Source organism: Homo sapiens, chromosome 7, assembly GCF_000001405.40.
Source record: "Homo sapiens chromosome 7, GRCh38.p14 Primary Assembly".
NCBI classification, from domain to species: Eukaryota; Metazoa; Chordata; class Mammalia; order Primates; family Hominidae; genus Homo; species Homo sapiens.
The window spans coordinates 80,128,219-80,147,620 of NC_000007.14; the positions used below are offsets into that span (position 1 = coordinate 80,128,219).

At 40.7% G+C, this 19,402-nt stretch overlaps 1 protein-coding gene across 2 annotated transcripts in view; it reads left to right on the top strand.

Annotated features, from left to right (window-relative positions):
• Positions 6,613-19,402, top strand: part of GNAI1 (G protein subunit alpha i1) — a 91,351-nt gene continuing 78,561 nt past the window's right edge. Inside the window, exon 1 of one of the 2 annotated variants that reach the window (NM_002069.6) lies at positions 6,613-7,060. In NM_002069.6, the coding sequence (NP_002060.4) occupies positions 6,943-7,060 (118 nt within the window). In that variant the 5' untranslated portion in view covers positions 6,613-6,942. Of the gene's footprint in view, positions 7,061-7,565; positions 7,855-19,402 lie in introns of those variants that run through there. The other variant, NM_001256414.2, reaches the window with a different exon arrangement.

Consider the following 19,402-nt stretch of genomic DNA (forward strand, 5'->3'; position numbering starts at 1 on the left):
CATGTCCTCATTCTTAGGTTTATTCTTAAAAAGAAAAATAGGAAGCTTGAGAACCATGAAAACACAATGCAGATAGGAATCACAAAATATGTACAAAATGTTATTGTTGCCCATCAAGATACAAACGGATACATCATGAATTTGATGACAATTTCTCCTCTTCGGATCTTATCTACATCCCTCCTTCTGGCCCTCAAAGTCCTCAATTATCCCTGTCACCTTAATCTCTTTCTTTTTCCTATTTTGTTCTTATTCTTGGATCTGACAAAACAGAAAGAAAAATGCACTATAATTATGAGCACATGATGTGCCTGGAACTGTGTTATGAGTTACCTTACTTAACACAACACTTCTAATATCTCCAGTGTTGAAGAAGAAACTGAGGTTTACAAATTCCAAAGTAGAAAAAATTCCCTCCACCTGAATGGCCTGCACAGCTCTATAGGATCTGGTTCCTGCCTACCTTGCAGCCCTCGCCTCCCTGATCTCCTACCTCTCTCATCTCCACTTCAGTCAAACTAACCTTTGAGTTCCTTGATCAAGTCAACTTCCATTCCACCCTAGGGCTGTTGCCCTTGTATTCAACATTGAAAGGCACTGGAATCTTCTTCCTCCAAACATGGTTCCTTCTAGCCATCTGGTTCTCTGCTCAAACGTTGTCACCTCATTAGAGTAATCTTCATGAATGTTCAGTTGAAAGTACCTATCTTTCCCTCAGAGTAACTCCTTGTTGTGGCCACGAAGGTGCACCATTCAGATGACCCTTTAAGGGAGCATAGTTGGCTGATAGCCTCCAACTGCCCCATCTTTAGATCTATTGCAGTGTTCTCACTTAGGCCTGAGGCTCTCTCTTCCAAGGCTGCCCTGAGCCTGTGACTGAGTAAGATAGGGGTACTAGACCCAGCCCACTTCACCACTTCCGCCCAGTACGGGACTTCCCTAATGAACAATATCTACTCAGGACTGGGTTGTGGGACAGAGATCTCATCAGGTTGGCCAAGACTTTCTTCAAGCTGCACCATAACCTGTCCCAAACTCCCTCTTTCCTTCTCTCCTTGTCCAGGTGTCAGAGCTGCATCACATTTGAAGTGCTCCCCAGCTACTCCTGCTCCTACTCTCTCTTATCCTTCACAGAATCTTCTCCCAATCTCTTGTTTGTCTAATTCTGTCTTGACGTCTGCTTCTCAGAAGACCTGAACTGGTGCACTCTCTTGTAAAACACTGCTTCATTACTTTCATAGCATTTATAACTATTTTTATTTTATCCAATTAAATTGATCCACTTATGTATTTATTTAATATCTCCCTCCTACCACTGCCACCATCTCCTCGTCAATGTAATCTGTCTTATTCATCACCTTATTCCCAGTGCTAAGAACACCACCTGGCTTATAATAGGTCTTCAGTTAATATTGTTGAATAAATGAATTAATGGATTTAGAAAGCTAGATTTATACTTTAGATCCAGAGGCTCCTCTTTATTCAATTACTGCGGGTTTTACTGTTCTAGGTCTTGGACATAAAACAGTAAGCAAGAAAGACAAAGTCTCTGCTCTTTTGAATTTATATTCAAGGGAGGGAAGACAGGTAATAAACACATAATCACAAATATATATATGCTATGTGATAAGAGATATAAAGAAATTATAGTGTGTAATAAGGGAATAAAGAGTGGTTGTTGAGTAGTTAGGAAAGATATCTCTCTGATAAGATTACATTTGAACAGAGATTTGGATGAAATAAGGGAGTGAGTCAAGCAGATACCTGGCTCAAGAGTGTTCCAGGCAGGGGGAGCATAAATGCCAAGGCCAATGATGGAGTGTGTTTGGCAAGTTCAAACAGTCTGGAGGTCAGGGAGGCTGAACCAGACAACAAGGAGAATGGCAGAAAATACTATGGGGAGGCACATGGTTAAAAAAAAGGGTAAGTCCTTGTATGCCATCATAAGGATTTTAGATGAGATTTTCCTCTAAGTGAGATGGAAAGTGAATGGATAGTTCTCCCTGACATTTTAAAAGGATGCATCTGGCTGCTAGGTGGGAACAGTAAGCGATTAAGGTAAAAGTAGAGGGAGCAGAAAGCAGGTTATTTAATATTTGATAAATATCTCCAGTGTCTATCAGTAAAGATGGCGATATTTGGCCAAGTTCTGGTTATATTTGAAGACAAAGTTAGTAGGATTTCCTAACAGATTGAATAACTAAGGCTTGCAGGAAAGGAAAGAATCTAGGATGACTCCAAGTATTTGGCCTGAGCAAACAGAAATGTGGAGTTGTTGATTACCGTGTTTTCCTCTGTTCAAGCTCAGCTGAACAGGTATAGTCATACAGAGGCAGAGTAGATTTAACCAGATTTGAAGTTTTTCCTGTTGAATACAATGGTGGGAGTGTTTTGAGGATATTGCAAAGGAATAATTGTCCTGATGGAAGATGGGATATAAGTTGCATAAGGAGAGACATTAGCACATGCAGCACACGACAGAAAGAGAAAAGGCATGTGGTCGGTAGATGGAAGGTCTCTGTGGGACTGGAGAATTGATGGTAATAACGTAACAGAGGGTGAGATGAAAAGGTCTGAAGTGGTGGTCAGAAAGTAGGGTGGCCATATTTTTTCCTTTGTCCCATAACTGTATCAGTCTGTTCTTATGCTGCTAATAAAGACATACCCAAGACTGGGCAATTTATAAAGGAAAGAGGTTTAATTGACTCACAGTTCAGCATGGCTAGGGAGGCCTCACAATCATGGTGGAAGGCAAAGGAGGAGCAAAGTCACGTCTTACATGGCAGCAGGCAAGAAAGCTTATGCAGGAAAACTCCTACTTATAAAACCATTGGCTCTCATGAGACTTATTCACTACCAGGAGAACAGTATGGGGGAATTTGACCTCATGATTCAATTATCTCCACCTGGTCCCACCCTTGACATGTGGGGATTATTACAATTTAACCTGAGATTTAGTTGGGATCACAGTGAAACCATATCAATAGCAATCCTTTTTTCTCAGTTGAATAATATTTGAGAAGAGTTACAAGTGAAATGAAACAAATTCCAAACCTACCTCTCCAACTACCATCCCATGTGTCAACCCCTCTCCATGGTTAAGATTCTTGAAAAAGTCTCCTTATTCAGCTTCTGCATTCTCCATGTTTACTTCTTAATTCCATATGGTAAGTCTCCCATTCACAACATAGCAAGGCAAAATTTTGTTTGCTACAGGTTTCAACACCACCTTGAAGCCAGCTAAAAAAGTCTATTCCTTTTGATTTATGACATCTCTTCAGTCATATCTTCTCATTCCTACATTAAATATCCCCCAATTTCTTCAATTATTCCTTATGACATAGTTTGTAGCTACTTTGAAAACCTGAGGCTCTCAGCTGAATGTGTTCTAATTTGTCTTTTAACATATGTCTCTAACTCTCTTAACATATAATGTTCAGTATTATTCAGAAATAAGAAGAAATAAAGTACTGGTGGATGCTACATGGATGAACCCTGAAAACTTTATGCTAACTGAAGGCAGCCAGTCACAAAATACTGTACACTATATGATTCCTTTTATATAAAATGTCAGAATAGGCAAATCTAAAGAGACAGAAATTAGATTAGCGGTTGTCTAGATCTGGGGAAAGATAAAGGATTGGAGATGATGGCTAAGGAATGCAGAGCTTCTTTTTGTGGTGATGAAAATATTCTACAATTGATTGTAATCATGGTTGCACAACTCTGTGAATATACTGAAAGCCACTGAAGTGTACACTTTAAATAGGCAAATTCTATGGCATATGACTTATATCTCAAAAAAGCTTGAACCCGAGGGAAAAAAAAAAAAAAGCTGTTAAAAAACAAACATGATGTTGAAAAGAAAAAACAGTATTCTGAAGTAGAGTGCTTTAACCTCTATAATTTCAATTTCACTCTGTATAAAAGAGATAAATAAATAATATCTGCTTCATCTCCTTGACAAGGTTGAATCATATTTTGCAACATCATAATTACATAAGTTATTAGCTTGAGTGACTCTCACCACCTCACATTTGGATTACTAACACAATTCACTTGCTGGTACCCATTTGTTTTACATGTAGTGGTAAGAGGGTTTTTTTATTTCTTTGCTTTTTAACATCTAGTACCCAACTCAGGAAAGAATGTAAGGAGCACTTTGTACCCACTGTATCAAGTCCAACCCTTCACCTTAGCATTTAAAGCTGTCTTCCAACTTTGTCCCATACATCCCATCATTCTTCACACCAACTTTGTCCCACACATCCTATCATTCTTCACAACCAAACAACTTTCAGTTATAAAACCATTGTTTTCTCTTTCACGTATCTTGCATATTAACTGTTTAGCTGGTTATTCCCCTCAAACAAAATATACCCTATTATGGCCTGAATGTCTCCAAAGCCCTAACCCACAATACGATGGTATTTGGAGATGGAACCTTTGGGAGGTAATTAGATTTGGATGAGGTCTTGAGAGTGGGGCCTTTAAGACAGGGCCTTTATAAGAAGAGGAGAGACCAGACTGCTTTCAAGCTCTCTCTCTCTTGCTCTGCCATGTGAGGACGCAGCAAGAAAGAGGCCATCTGCAAGGCAGCAGCAGAACCCTCACTGAGGAACTGAATAAACTGGCACCTTAATCTTAGGTTTACCAGCTTCCAGAACGGTGAGAAATATATTCCTATTGTTTCAGCCACTCAGGCTATGGTATTTTTAGGGCAGCCTGAACTAATACATACTTCTTTAAACTCCCCACCAATATCCTGTTATCATTTCCTTCAAACGTTTTTTCAAAACTTTCTTATCTTAGAATTTCCCCCCATACTGATCAGTTCATTACTCTGCATTCTCTTAGGAATTGTGCTACATATAAATCTAATTTGCTGTTCTTATTCGTTTATGTATCACATTTTAACTCACCTATTTGACTAACTTCAAAGGATGGAAGTAATGTTACCTATTTGACAAACTTCTGTTACACATACTTCATTTCTCCGAAACACAAGTTTTGTAGTCATTTCTACCAATATTCAGCCAGCACTGCTTCTTCTTTTGCTGAAACTGTTGGTTCCACACTCTGGTCCGAACTTAATAGGAAAGACTCACCATAAAAGATAATTAAGAATGGCTAATACACAGTGTGTTGAAATTTGATTTCCTTAAGTTTAATTCCAGAGTTCTGATACACATTAGCATTTAGAGTGCCTAGAATTACAGTGTAGAAGGTGACTAAGTACATTTAAAGATTGTTCCTTTTTGTTGTTATATTACAAAAGATTATAGTTGAGGCAGATCTTGAAATTGCATCTCATCAGCCCAGCAGGTGGTGTGACTCCCATAGGAGAACAGGAAAGGACATGTCCCATAAGGAGGCAACTCAGTCTCTGCTAGCTCACAAGCGTGGTCTCAGTGACCTACTCGAAAGCTATTCTGCTTGTATCATCAGTTCAGCCTCACCTTGGAAAACTCAAGCCCAGTTTTCCCAAATGATTTTTAGAGAATAAGATTTCCAGATGAAAACCAGGGAGCATGTTCCAATTTTTAGTACATCAAGGACCATGTTTTTCCTTGCTACCAGCCCCATTTTCTAATCAGTTAACGCTTCCTGTGATATCTGTAGGGGAAAGGTGTAGTGCAACTGACAGGGAGAGATGAGATCTTAAGCCTCTGCTCATTCATTGGGTGCTGAGTAGCAATGCCTCCCGCGGGCCACAGGAACTTATCTCCGCCGATTGTTACAGCTGGAAGGATGGGGAGATAGCACCATAGATCCACTCCTCATTTTATGGGCAAAGAAGCTAAGGCCTGTAAAAATGGCATGCCCAATGGTACAGGAGTTACAAACACGGTCATAAATATTGGCTCCAAATTTGGCATGGAAGCTTATGTGCTGCTCTAGAGGAGATCTGCTACGATGTGGAGATTGGCTTGTGTGGGTGTGTTTTATTGCTCTTGTCATTTAAAAATACTTTTGATTATTTGTCTTCCATTTTTTTTAGGTTACGAGGAAATCCTTCAAAATGCGTTCTTGTGAAAAACGTGAGAGTGCAAGGAAAGAGGGAGGGATAGGAAGAAGGAAAGAGAAGCAAAAGGTAGGAAGAAAGTGACCTTGGTGCCCTTTTCTAGTCCCCTCCCCCGACTTTCCTGTTCTCCACTGTGCCCATCTCTGGTTTCACCAGGCTCCATTCCTTCCCCAGTTCCCTGTTTCTCACGGCCCTGAAACCAGCCGACAGGGATTTGCATTTTGAAAAACCTTGCGTGGCTGCCGGCGCTGGGCATGCTCAAACGCCCAGAACTGGCTTTTTTCGGCAACTTTGGCAGCTCTCCCACCCCCACCCGAAGGGGCAGGTACGCACAGCTCCCTCCGTGTGAGTAAACGGAAAGAAATTACCCCACTCCCGCCCAGGGCAGAAGGCCACAGCCCCGCGGGGCAGTGGCGCGCCCCGGGGACGCTGCCAGGGGGCGCCAGGCCCTCAGTGGTGGCGCGGCGCCGGGGTCCGGGGCCGGGGGGCGCTGTCCGAGGGCACGTGCGCGGGCGCGCGCTCTGGGAGTGGTCGCGGGGTGGTGGGAGGGGCGGGCAGGGGCGGGGCCGCGGCGGCGCGCGGAGGCCGAGCTCGGCTGGGCTTGGCGAGGCTGCGGCGCGGCCACCGGCGGGAGTGCAGCGGCCACTGTACCCAGAGATTCAAAACCCCAAACCCGGGACTTGGGGGCGCTGAGCCGGGCCGGGAAGCAGAGCCTGGTCGTGAGGAACAGCCGCCCGTTGCTGTCTGCCCCTTTGCGGACAGCGTCTCCCTCGACTCCGCTTAGGAAGTGGTGGGGGCGGCGTGGCCCCCGTCGGGAGGCGTTCGAACGCCCGCTAGGAGAGAGAAAGGATTCCCCTGTGCTTGGAGCCCGCACTCGGGCGCGGAGGGAGCGGCGGCAGGCTCTCGCTTTCGGCACCATGGGCTGCACGCTGAGCGCCGAGGACAAGGCGGCGGTGGAGCGGAGTAAGATGATCGACCGCAACCTCCGTGAGGACGGCGAGAAGGCGGCGCGCGAGGTCAAGCTGCTGCTGCTCGGTAAGGGCGGCCGGGTCGGGGCCCGGGGGTCGGCGGGGGACCGGGTGCGGCGCTGCGCGGCCCTCGGCGTTTGGAAACCCGGAGGGAAGGGGGAGGAAGCGCCCGAGGAGGCTTCTGAGCGGGAGCTGGGTCCGGCGGTGCGGAGGCAAGGCGGGTCCCCCTCTCCCGGTGTCTGGTCTCTCTCCGCCCCGGCGGGCGAGGACTCCCCGCGGCGGGGCGGGCGCGTCACTTCACTCGGATGCTTTCGTGCGACCCAGCAAAGAGCCCAGGCGCGAGTCCGAGGCGGCGGGTCGCGTGGAAACCCTTTGCTTTGAAGTTTAGCTCAGCCTTGTAAAGATGAAGGGGCATTCGCGGCTAGAAAATGAAAACACCCCCCCCCCCGCGCCACCAACCCCCTCCCGGAAAACCCTTCTTCGTGTGCGGTGTAGGTTGTGTTTCGACTGTGGTTTTCTCATGCCCAGAGTGCCACGTTTGGTGAAATCAGTGCACCTTTTGTGGGGCCTCTGAGATGGGGCTGAAGCGTCTTTCCTGTTAACTTCCTATGGCGACTCCTTAAGTGGTCAAGGAGCGCTGATTACATTCCCCCTGCGCTGAGAAAAGGCTGCGCTGGATGCTTGATTTTTCTTGCTGTGGGGGCATGGAAGCCACCCAAGTGGGGTTGGGAAGCTTTGCTTTAGTAGTAGGCAAGGCAGATACTCGAGTGGTGAAAACTGCTGTGAAAGAGCGAGAGGGTCACGCCAGACAACAGGGTTCTGTCTCCGCTGCCACCGTTTCTGATGAATGAGATTTGCCAGGTACACGCAAGGCTTTTATTTGTTCTTAGCACTGTTCTGTTCGTGAAACGCTACGTGGAGGTCTTTTCCAAATGTTTGACGGGGAAGAAAATAAAGAGTAAACCAGGGTTTTCACTGAGGGAAGCATTAGGAAAATCTTTACAGGTTAAGATTCGTGAGTTAGGGTTTTCTTTTGTTTGCATGTTTTCTTCTCACACTCTAGGTATTTAGATAGATGAAAAATTTCTCAGAATCTTCATTTGCATTTCCAAGGACTGCTTGTATTTTTATACCAGTTATAATAAAAAAGAAATGTTGCACAAACCTGTTTTCAGTAAGCTTCTGTTTCATTGGTTTAATGACTGCAGAAAAAATGGTGGGTTTTTTTTCTCCATTACTAGTAGGCTTGGGAGCAGCAAAGTTGGCATGACTAAAAGTAATAATGATCTGAGTCATTTTGCAAGTAAACTGTGAAATAACTTTGCATTTTAAAGACCTGGGTGGCTTTTTTCACCCTGTCGCCCCCAACATAAATCTTTCTCAGTTAATGTTGTTTGCCTAAGTTTTTACATTAATAAGAAATACTGTGTTTTGATGAGGTTAGTGTATGTACTTCTCTTGTGAATTGAATGTGAGATAGATATGAAATAAGAGGATTAAGAAGTTTTTTTCTTGCAGTTTTTGCTCTCCTGGTGTGATACGTTGTTTCAGTGTATTTCTGTGTGACTCTTAGTTTGAGCCAGCCATCCACCATGTTTAAAGCAATTGAAAAATGAATCATCTGGTGGTGGTGTTTTGTCCTTTAATTAGGTGACTGTTAGGGATGGACTAGAATAAAGGTCCCAGGAGTAGGCTTTTGCTTATGTTCAGAAGAGATCAGTGTGTCTTGATCTTAGCACGGTTGGCATTTGGGGCTGGGTAATTCTTTGTTCTCCAGGTTGTTTTTGTGCATTGTAGGATGTTCAGCAGCATCTTTGGCCTCCGCTCATTGGATGCTAGTAGCAGCCCCCTAACCTGTGAGCTCCAAAAGTGTTTCCACATATTGCTAGAAGTCCTCTGGGGGCAAAATACAGCGTTAGTTAAGGACCACTGTTCTAGATTAAGACTTAAATATAACTGAATGTATAATACAGAACCAGAAGTTGAATCTTGACAGTCATCATAAGTGAGTTCAGAGAAAGATGTAGCAGAGGCCTCATTTTCAGAAGAAATTATGGAATTCTTATTTCTTTTTCTTTTTTCTTTTTTTTTTTTTCTTTTCTTTTCTTTTTTTTTTTTTTTTTTTTTGAGACGGAGTCTTGCGCAGTCGCCCAGGCTGGAGTGCAGTGGCCCGATCTCGGCTCACTGCAACCTTCACCTCCTGGGTTCAAGCGATTCTCCAGCCTCAGCCTCCCGAGTACCCGGGACTACAGGTGCGTGCCACCATGCTCGGCTAATTTTGTATTTTTAGTAGAGACCGGGTTTCACCATGTTGGCCACGCTGGTCTCCAATTCCTGACCTCAGGTGATCCGCCCGCCTCAGCCTCCCGAAGTTCTGGGATTACAGGCGTGAGCCACCTTGCCCGGCCAGAATTCTTATTTCTCTAAACCAGTACTGGTACCATTGGAAATATTTCAGAATGATTTTTAGAAATCTTTAAGTGACTGAATTCTTTTGGCTGTCTTTTCTAGCTTTGGTCTTTTGCTTTTCCCTACCTCTCTCCTCTCTGGAAATCCTGGCTGTCCCTGCTGGCCCAGCACTCTCCTCTGTCTTATCCCCGTTCTAGTCTACCCTTTTGCCCAGAGTTCCATCACCCTAGTCCTGTAAACAGAATTCTGGCTTACTTATTCCAGAAATTCAATTCTTGGAATGTTCGAAAACATTGTTTTCCTAATTTGACTTTAGTAGTAAATTGTGACCTTTTGGTTCTTTTTTGAATCCTTAAAGCATATGTGTAAGCAGCTAAATGAAATAATTCCATGTAAAACACGGCAGTAGAATAAACTAGAAATGTAAAATCGTTTCTAGGTAACGTATAACCAGTGTCACAGCCATTTACATTAGATCGTGTTCATCTTCACTTATTCTGTTTTTCTCATCACATGATGTTTTTTAAATTTAAGGCATAAAATCTCTAAAGTACTTTTAAGACAGTCTGTTAAATATATTGCATTTTTTTCTTAAGGAATGTATTGTCATTTTAAACAGCTGGGCTGAGTAATTTAGATATGAGACTTGCACACTATTAGTAAAGATTTTGGCACTGTCTATATGATTTAAATCAGAGGTATTTCACTATACTGAGCAGTGAATTAGGCCTTAAAAAAAGAGGAGCTAGTCTAATCATTGACACTAAGGAAATCAGGCCAGAGTTTGGGTTGTTTGTCTTTTAGGTTTAGTTTTTATGCTTATTAGGATGATAATACTTAATAGAGAAACATTTTAAAGAAGTAAGTAATAATGAAAGTTTTTTATATAATAATGTCTAATTGTTGAGGAAATTATTTTTTATTGTTATATCTTTGAGAATGTTTTAATTTATCATCCTTTTAAGGGCAGTAAGATTAAGCTTATGCTTTATTTCGGTAGGTAACTATAGTATACTACTTGTACTTATGAAATATTATTTTATTATGTATTTGGAGGACATAAGATTTGACATACAAATAAATGATCATGAATTTATTTTCTGTTCCAAAGCTTTGAGCAGTATTCTCATTTATTCCACCTCACTGTCCTTCCTTCCGCTCCACTCCCCCTCATATACAAAATTCCACACCCTTGTCTCCTTCTTCAGCTTGGTTTAAATATTCCAGGTTTGGGGGAAAATGAGCTGAGGGATTGGATTTCTTCTGTTTGGTGGATATTTTTCTATTGCTGCCACCAGGCAGCCCTTTGGGATGCTGCATCATTAATCTTCACTCCTTTTGAACTTGCCCTGTGACTTCCCCTAGTTGAGAAATGTTGGCTATGCAGGGCTTTTGATTTTTCATTGCTTTGACTTTCTTAGAATTGGTTTAGGATCTTAGATGTCAAAAAGCCCATTTCCTTGAATAAACGGATCCGGTATTTCAGTATGGGTTGTGTGCTTCTTTCTCATGGCATACCTTGTATTAGTTACTTTAGTAAGAAGCCACAGGTTTTGGAATTGCTGATTTTTTTCTGTACCTTCTGTTTTTCATTTTCATATTCATAGTTCAAGTCCTTCTCTGCCTCTGGCAGCCTAATTCCAATAGGCTCTCTTGCATCTTGTCTTTCCCTCTAGCCTGTTCTTTCTACTGCAGATATCATGCTGCTTCCTTGCTCAGAAACCTTTGTTGACTTTTCCGTTTCCTGCAGAATAAAATCTTTTAGACTTGGCTTCCCTCTAGCCTTATACTTTTTCCTTAGGGCACCCTTCTCCAAACAGAAACTGTTGGCACATGTTAAAGCATATTTGCACTTGATTTCTGGTATTGTTTATCCTTCTGCCCAGCCTATTTTCCTACTGCTGTGGGCACTTTAAAGGCAGAATTTTTGTAGGTTTTCTTTGAATACCTAACAACCCTTCTATTTTATTATGTGTAAAATGGCTTCTTAATTATGTAAAATTATTATCTTGCTGGAATATAAACTTTGTGCTCTGCTGTTTTCAATATCAATGAGAGCAAATAACTGTCCAGCCAAATTATGTAAACAAAAAAGGAATAGTAAATTATGTGATGACCACAGTGAACACATGGCATCTAAAATCAAATTGTTTGGTTTAAGATTTTTTTTCATATTTATAAGAGCTTTTCACAGTCATTGTATTTGATAAATTAAAGTTGAGAAAATGATAATGGATATTCATTGGAGGAGGATCTGCTATGTTGCAATTATGGCACTTTGCCCTGCAATTTTTTTTTTTTTTTTTTTTTTGTAAAGGTAGATCTCATTTTCTAATTTTTATTTTTGGCCCCAATTTCTTTTTTTTTTTTTTTCCTTTTTTTTGACGGAGTCTTGCTCTGTCGCCCAGGCTGGAGTGCAGTGGCGCAGTCTCCGCTCACTGCAAGCTCCGCCTCCCGGGTTCACGCCATTCTCCTGCCTCAGCCTCTCAAGTAGCTGGGACTACAGGTGCCTGCCACCACGCCCGGCTAATTTTTTTGTATTTGTAGTAGAGACGGGGTTTCACCGTGTTAGCCCGAGTGGTGTCGATCTCCTGACCTCGTGATCCGCCTGCCGCGGCCTCCCAAAGTGCTGGGATTACAGGGGTGAGCCACCGCACCCTTTGGCCCCAATTTCTAATGCATAAAAAGTATGACTGTTGTTGAATGTCTCAGTGATAGGAAACATGCCTATCTTACAGAATTTAATAGATGTTATTTAAACCTGAAAAAGACTGCTGTAATTTTTTAAACAGAAATTGTGTATTCAACCACAATCAATTTTTATTTTGTTACACATGTCTAACTGCCTTGGAAAATTCTGTGTACAACAAATTCACACAGGAAGACCTGAGTGTATTTGAGTGTGTTTGTTGCAGATTTCTTGGTCACATGTTCTGGCATGCAGTTAACCAATGTATGACTCCCCAGAGTATGACACAGTGAAGTTCAGATCCCAGACTCCATTTGAGTCTTACGAACTAAGGTCAGCTCTACCTAATCTTTTAGTGCTCAGACTGGTTTCTGTCATAACTTGTTAGTGCCAATTAAAAGCCGTAACGGAAATAGGGCAAAAAATTTTTTTTAATGAATGTTCATTACCATAAACGTAGTGACAACACAAAATTTATTGTCATACAGTTGTGGAGGTTAGAAGTCCAAAAAGGGTTTCCACTGGGCTAAAGTCAGGTTGTTGATAGGGCTTCTTTTCTTCTGGAGATTCTAGAGGAGAATCCATTCCCTTGCCTTTTTCAGCTCTACAGAGGCTGCCTGCTTTCATTGGCTCATGGTGCCTTCTCCATCTCAAAGCCAGCAATAGCTGGTGGAGTCTTTCTCATGTGGCATCACTCTCCTGCCTCCCTTTTTCACTTGGAAGGACCCTTGTAATTACATTGGGCCCACCCACATAATCCAAGTTAATAGTCCCATCTCAAGATCACATCTGCAAAATTCCTTTTGCCCTGTGAGGTGACATATTCACAGGTTTCAGGGATTGGGACATATTTATCTTTGGGGACCATTATTTTGCCTTCCACAGTCCGCCCTCTGGCTCCCAAAGGCTCATGTGCATCCTGCATGCAAAATGCATTCACCCTCTCCCAACATCTCCAAAAGTCTCAACCCAATACAGCCACAACTGACTGCAAAATCTCAACCAGGGCTCTTGATCTAACTCAGGAATAGGTGAGATTCTGGGTGTAATCCATACTGGGACAAAATTCCTGTCTGTTTGTGGACCTGTGAAACTAGCAAACAAGTTATCTGCTCCCAGAATATGGTGGGTCAGGCATAGGTTATCATTAAATGGAAAGAAAAAAGGAGTCTCTAGTTTTGAGCACTTTCAAAACTCCTTTAGGTTTCAAGGACTGGGGATAGTTCTCTGTGACTCTTTACTCCACCCTGTGGGTACTGAACTTCTCCACTCTTGGGAGTCATCCTTCTTTTCTAATGAAGGGTGTAGCACCTGTATGCTGCTGATTACTTTTATCAGCCTGTTTCTTGCCTCTGGAATTATGGTGGTCTGACAGCATTATTTCATTTCATATTCTTTTACTTCACCTTTTTCCTGTCCCGTTTTACTGTAACCAGCAAGAAAAAACAAAAACAAAGAACCGGCCACATCTTTAATACTTTGCTTGGAAATCTCTTCATCTTAATGTCCAGGTTCATAGCTTACAAGGTCTGCTTTCCACGTAACTGCTGGACTTAATTCAGCTAAGCTTTCTGCCTGTATATAGCAAGGATCCCCTTCCTCTAGTTTTTGATAACATGTTTCACCTTTCTTCCCATCCAAGTCCTCATCAGCAGCAAATTTAAGCTCCATGCGTCTAGCAATAGTATGTTCATGATAATTCACATATTTTCTAAGGTGATAATGTGTCATCTACCATGCTTCTCACTTCGTTCTGAGCCCACACTGGGAGAGACATTAACATCGTATTTCTATTAACAGTATGTCAAGACCACCTAGACTTTTTCTATTATGCTTCTCAAAATTCTTTTAGCCTCTGCCCATTGCCCATTTCTGCATTTTTAGGTGTTTGTTATAGCAGCACCCCATTTCCCATTATCTTCATCAGTATCTTATATATCACTTTTGAAAGTGCAAAATAATTGTAATTTTACATTCTCCAGTCCCTCATAATTTATGTGACTATCATGGTAACACTAAAAGCACCAGTTTCTTACATGTCATATTGAACCCATGGTGTTACTCAAGTCGTAATGTGAAAGAATAAAGCTTTTCTTTGCCTCTTCTTTATTGACATTTTTCCTGATCATCCAGTCTAAATTAGTCTTCCTTCGTCTCCCTTCCTACTAATACCATATTGAAATCATCTTGTACTTTTATTTTTTATTGTCTGTTGCCTTTCTCTATGGCATTGGCCCCATCAGAGCATGAATCTTGTCAGACTTATCATCTGATGGGATGGCACATAGTAGCTGTTTCATAATTGTTGGTTAAATTAATGGATAAATTGTTGAACATTAATTTTGACTAGTTTTCTTTTAAAGGGAAAAATTGGTACATATTCTTTGTGCCTTGGGTATTTTGAGTGAATTTTAGCCCAATATATATCTTGCTGGTTTAGAGTAATGAAAACCTACTACATTATTCCTAACACATTTCTAAAAAGTAAACTAATTTTGGGGACCATATTCTTGTTGCATGATCAAAATCATGATTCTTGGTAAATAAGTGGTAGAGTGAAATGTGATTTTCATATTTGAATATTCTGGGAACTTTGTTTTTAACAGTATTGCTGCCTTGCTGTTTCACATGTTATTTTGCTGCTTTCTTAAAATGCATACACTATTGCAATGTGGCATTTAATATATACTCACAACTATATATTTCACACAGGATGATGTGACTCTGGTAAACCTCAGCTTTCAGGAGCCAGCAGGCTGCTCAGAGGCTCACCAGCAGACTGTTCTTTATGTCTTGCTTGTTCCTATGTGGTGAGGATGATCACTAGTAGCATTTGTAAGATGTGTTCCATGCTTTTCCTGTCAAATTACGCATTAGCCTTACCAGATCCTTAAGAGAATTTACAGTCTACTTGGGGAAATACAATATATACATAAAGATAAGTCCTCATAATGTCAAATGGGGAAGAAAAAATAAAATAGATACTAGGTAGGGGAGGTGAGTGTCAATATTGGGACTTCATTGTTGATCTTGGGGGGTGGAGGTGGAGGTAGCTTGCCTCTCAGATATTACTTTGGTTATAAATCTGTCAGTTGTTTTCATGTATTTCTGAACCTACTATTTAACCCTTACTGGGTGTAAGCTTTGTGTTGTATGGAAACTTATAATGTAGAAGAGACTTTGCTATCTATGAATTTAGTTTTCTAACATTTTCCATGTCTAAGGAATTTTTTTCCCCTCCAAGGTTTATTTAGCTCTGTAGAAAGGCTTTCCAGAGAGGAAAGGTGAGTTGACTTAGAACTCTGGTGGTAAAAGTTTTCCCATGAGACCTTGGGCAAGTTACCAAATTTTATAAGCTTCAGTTTTTTCTTCTATAAATGCTGGATAATAAATATATCTACTTCATAGGGCTAGTGACAAAGTAAGCTAATGCATCTGAAGTACTTAGAATACTACATGGTACATACATTCTTAATAATTATAGGCTATTATTATAAATACTTCAGAGACTCTGTGGAATCAGCCCTCCCTTGCAGTTTCATCCATTTGTGGTCATAGACATTAAATTCTTTTTATTGGCTTTTCTTAGCAAGGATGTGTGTGTGTGTGTGTGCGCGCGTGTGTGTATCTATATGTGTGCATATATGTGTGTGTGTGTATATATATAGTGAAGACTTCAAGAAGTATAAATTCAGTTTTAAACATTAGTTTCTAATCCCACCGTAACTTCCTTGAGGGACTTGGATTTCTCTTTAACAGCCTCCTTACTGGGGCTAGACCAGGTAAATATCTGTGCTGTGTTAAGAATTCTATAGAGAATGCACTTTACATAATCAGAAGATTTTACAAATGTTATAGCAGTAATTTTCTCTTCATTTTATTATCCATTTTTAGAATTAGTGCAGTGGCTTTTTGCAAACTTTTTTTTTTTTTTGGAAAATAAAGCTGTTAGTGTAAATTATGAAACGTTAAGTTTATTCAAAAGATGGTGCCATTTCTCAGAGGAGTTTGACAACTTTCCACAAAATATAAAATCCTTTCTAAAACTTCCTGCACTGTTGACTCAAAGAGATTCCTGATAGAACTCCAGGATTATAACGGATTTACTTTTAGGAGAAGAATGTCTTTAAAAGTGGTGGTAACCTTAATAGAGAAACAGTGAATTGTTGAATCTGTGATAGTATTTGTGCCTTTTAATAAATTGTAAAATGAGTTCCTTAAGACTTACATCTTCAGTTGTATGAAACTCCTCCTGTTACCCTTGCCTCACTAAAGTACAATCCAGAATTTTTTCTAGTAACTGATCTATATTATTCATTTTTCTTGTTTGGGCACATACATCTTATTTGACAGCCGTTGCTGAAGGCTTACTAATTTTGTTCTTCATGGTATTTAAGAGGGATGGAACTTGTAAGTAAACTTACAGTTATAATCAATATAATGTAGTAGGAGTTAAACTGCCTTCTTATATGGTTCCGAAGTTAATCTAATTCCAAGAATTACATTTATTTCGGTATAGCTTGAAATTGATCCATGTATACTAGCTCACTTAAGTTTTCACAAACTGAGCACATTCAATCAGCAATCAGATCAAGAAATGTATGCAAGGTATATTTTGTTACTGTAAAAAGTAATGGTGGTCAGTAAAGTTGCTGGGACTATAAGATGGTGCTCCTCTAATTCAAGACCAACACTGAGCACTTGCCTCCATCAATTCGTCCTCTCTTGCCTCCAGCACCTTTTTCCATCCACCTGATCCACTAGCATCTTCATACTGCTTTAAAGACTCCTGTGTCCTGGTCTCAAGTCATGCCTAGCTTTAAAAGTGATAAAATCCAAGTAATACACCCCTTAAGTAATTTTTAATCTATTTTTTTATTTAAACTTTTCAGAATATTCAGAAAAATAGGCAGTGTTCATATTTTTCCTTTTTCACTTTGCAGTCACTCTTTAAATTACTTTCTGCTTTAAATTATTGACTTTCTGATTGATATAGAAGTATTGAGAAATAGGCAGTCATGTAACCATATCAATCTATATATTTTTTAAAGAGGTAATGTGGTGTTTATTCCCGTGTACTCTTCTCCTTCTGGAGTTCCTTTTATATGAAGGTTGGGCTTCTCATTCGAACTTAATTGTAACCTCTTTGTGGTTTTTATCTTTTTGTGCTACTTACACATTTTCTAGGTTCATTTTTATCCAGTTGGTAATAACTAATCTACCTATTAATAGATTGAGCTTTACATTTTAGTGGTGAAATTTCTATGTCTAAAAACCATTTCTAATCTTTAGCTTGAAAAAGTGTCTGTTATTCTACTTCTTTATTTTCTGGCTTTTTCAAAGCCATTTTCATTATATTGTACCTATTTCATAGTCTGAAAAACGATTTTTGAAGTTCTTGAGCTTCAGCTATTTATGGTGTCTTGACTCTGTCTCGAGGTAAATTGTGTCCTCTTATAATTTTTCATTTGTGAGCATATATTAAGCAGTACGTTGTCTGTGTGAATCCTGTACACCCTGGGTTGGCTGCAGTTTTCCTTTCAATCTCGTGGATGCTGTGTCCTTCTTACTTGGTTTTTCCCAGGCAGCCCTTTCCTGTAGAGCCAGTATGAGGTAGCCAGGTTCTCAGCTGTTTCGAGTGCTTTGCCTTCTCTGGTTATCTCAAGCATCAGGAAAATTATATGTTGCATACATTCCACAGAGGTCCCATGGTGATGGGGAAAGGTCAGCTCAGGCATTCCCTCTGCTTAGCCACACTTCATCATACTGCTTGGATACATGTTGCTGCCTAGGAGACTTTCTTAACCCAAACAGGCCCCACTGCCTTTAGCAGTTTCTTCATCTTCTCTGACATACAATTCAGCTTTGGCCCAGAGTGGAGATTAAGATATGGGTCTGACTCTGCCTCTCTTTTCCCTGTGTGACTGCTCCAGTTGCTCCTAACTGAATGCCCTGTAGCTCCCAAGCTTGCAGGCTCTGCCATGGGATGCCTGGGAAAGTAAGGCACTTGTACTCTTCCATTTTTGTCTGGATGATACCAGTGTCTGCCTCTTCTCCCATTATTCATGTAAATGCAAAAGAGAAAAAAAGCACTTTAATAATTTTCAAAAATTTCTCATATTACATTCTCTATTGTGTCTGGCTCTGAAGTTAGGTTTTTGTGTTTTTTTCCCACAATTATTCCTACTGTATGTCCTTGCTGCAATCCAAGTGCTGACCTTATTTTTTTAGAGCTCGTTCTTTTTAAAGTTAAACTTTACTATGCATAGAAGTAATTTTGAATCTTTCAAAATGCAGATTCTCATTGAGTAGGTCTGGGGTGGGGCCTGAGATTCTGCATTTCTCATAGGCTCCCGGGGTGCTTGTATTGCTGAGCCACAGTCCAGTCCATCTCAGAGTCCTAGAGGAGGTAATCTTCTCTGGTTCTTTTCCATTTATCCATTTCATAAGCATTTCTCACATCTTATCTGGCCTTTGCCACATTCATGAAACCTATCACTTTATCAGTAAGGTATTTAAAACACTGCCTTGCACAGAGTAAACATTCATCATGTTCTAGATATTCACATGTACATGAACACACACATATCTATCACACTTAATATTATTGCTGTTTTATAGTTAAACTTCTTCTAATGTCAATCTAGAAACTTGTTTTAGTAGTGCATTTTGAGAGAAACCATTTGGTATCATCTTGCATGGAAACATCCGCTTCCTTAGGAATGACCAAAAACTATAATTAGTGATAATGAATCTTTTATGATTTGGCAAGAGTGTTTTAAGTGGAGTTCTTTTGATGATACGATTGTTCAGGTCAGGCTGAAAGAGCCCCAATAATAATGTTTTTCTGACTGTTTTCCTCTGGTAATGTTTGTGATAAAATTCCTTTGTCATAAATAAATATTGTTGCTGGTGCAGACTGAATATTTGTATTCCCCCAAAATTCACATGTCGAAACCCTAACCCCCAATGTGATAGGGTTTGGAGATGGGGCTTTTGGGAAGTAATTAAGGTTAGATTAGGTAATGAGGGCTGGTCCTTCATGATGAGATTGGTATCCTTATTAAAAAAAAAAAAAAAGACACAGGAGCTCTCTTGCTTGTACCAAGAAGTGGCCATATGAGACATAACTCAGTGAGGGCCCTCACCAAGAACCAGACCATTCTGGCCCCCTGATGCGATCTCCAGCTTCTTGACCTATGAGAAATAAATGTTGTTTAAGCCACCCAGTATAGTTTTCTGTTACAGCAGGCTTCACTGACTGAGACAGTTGTAAATTCTGATTAAGTTTACAGTCATTGGACTTGAAAT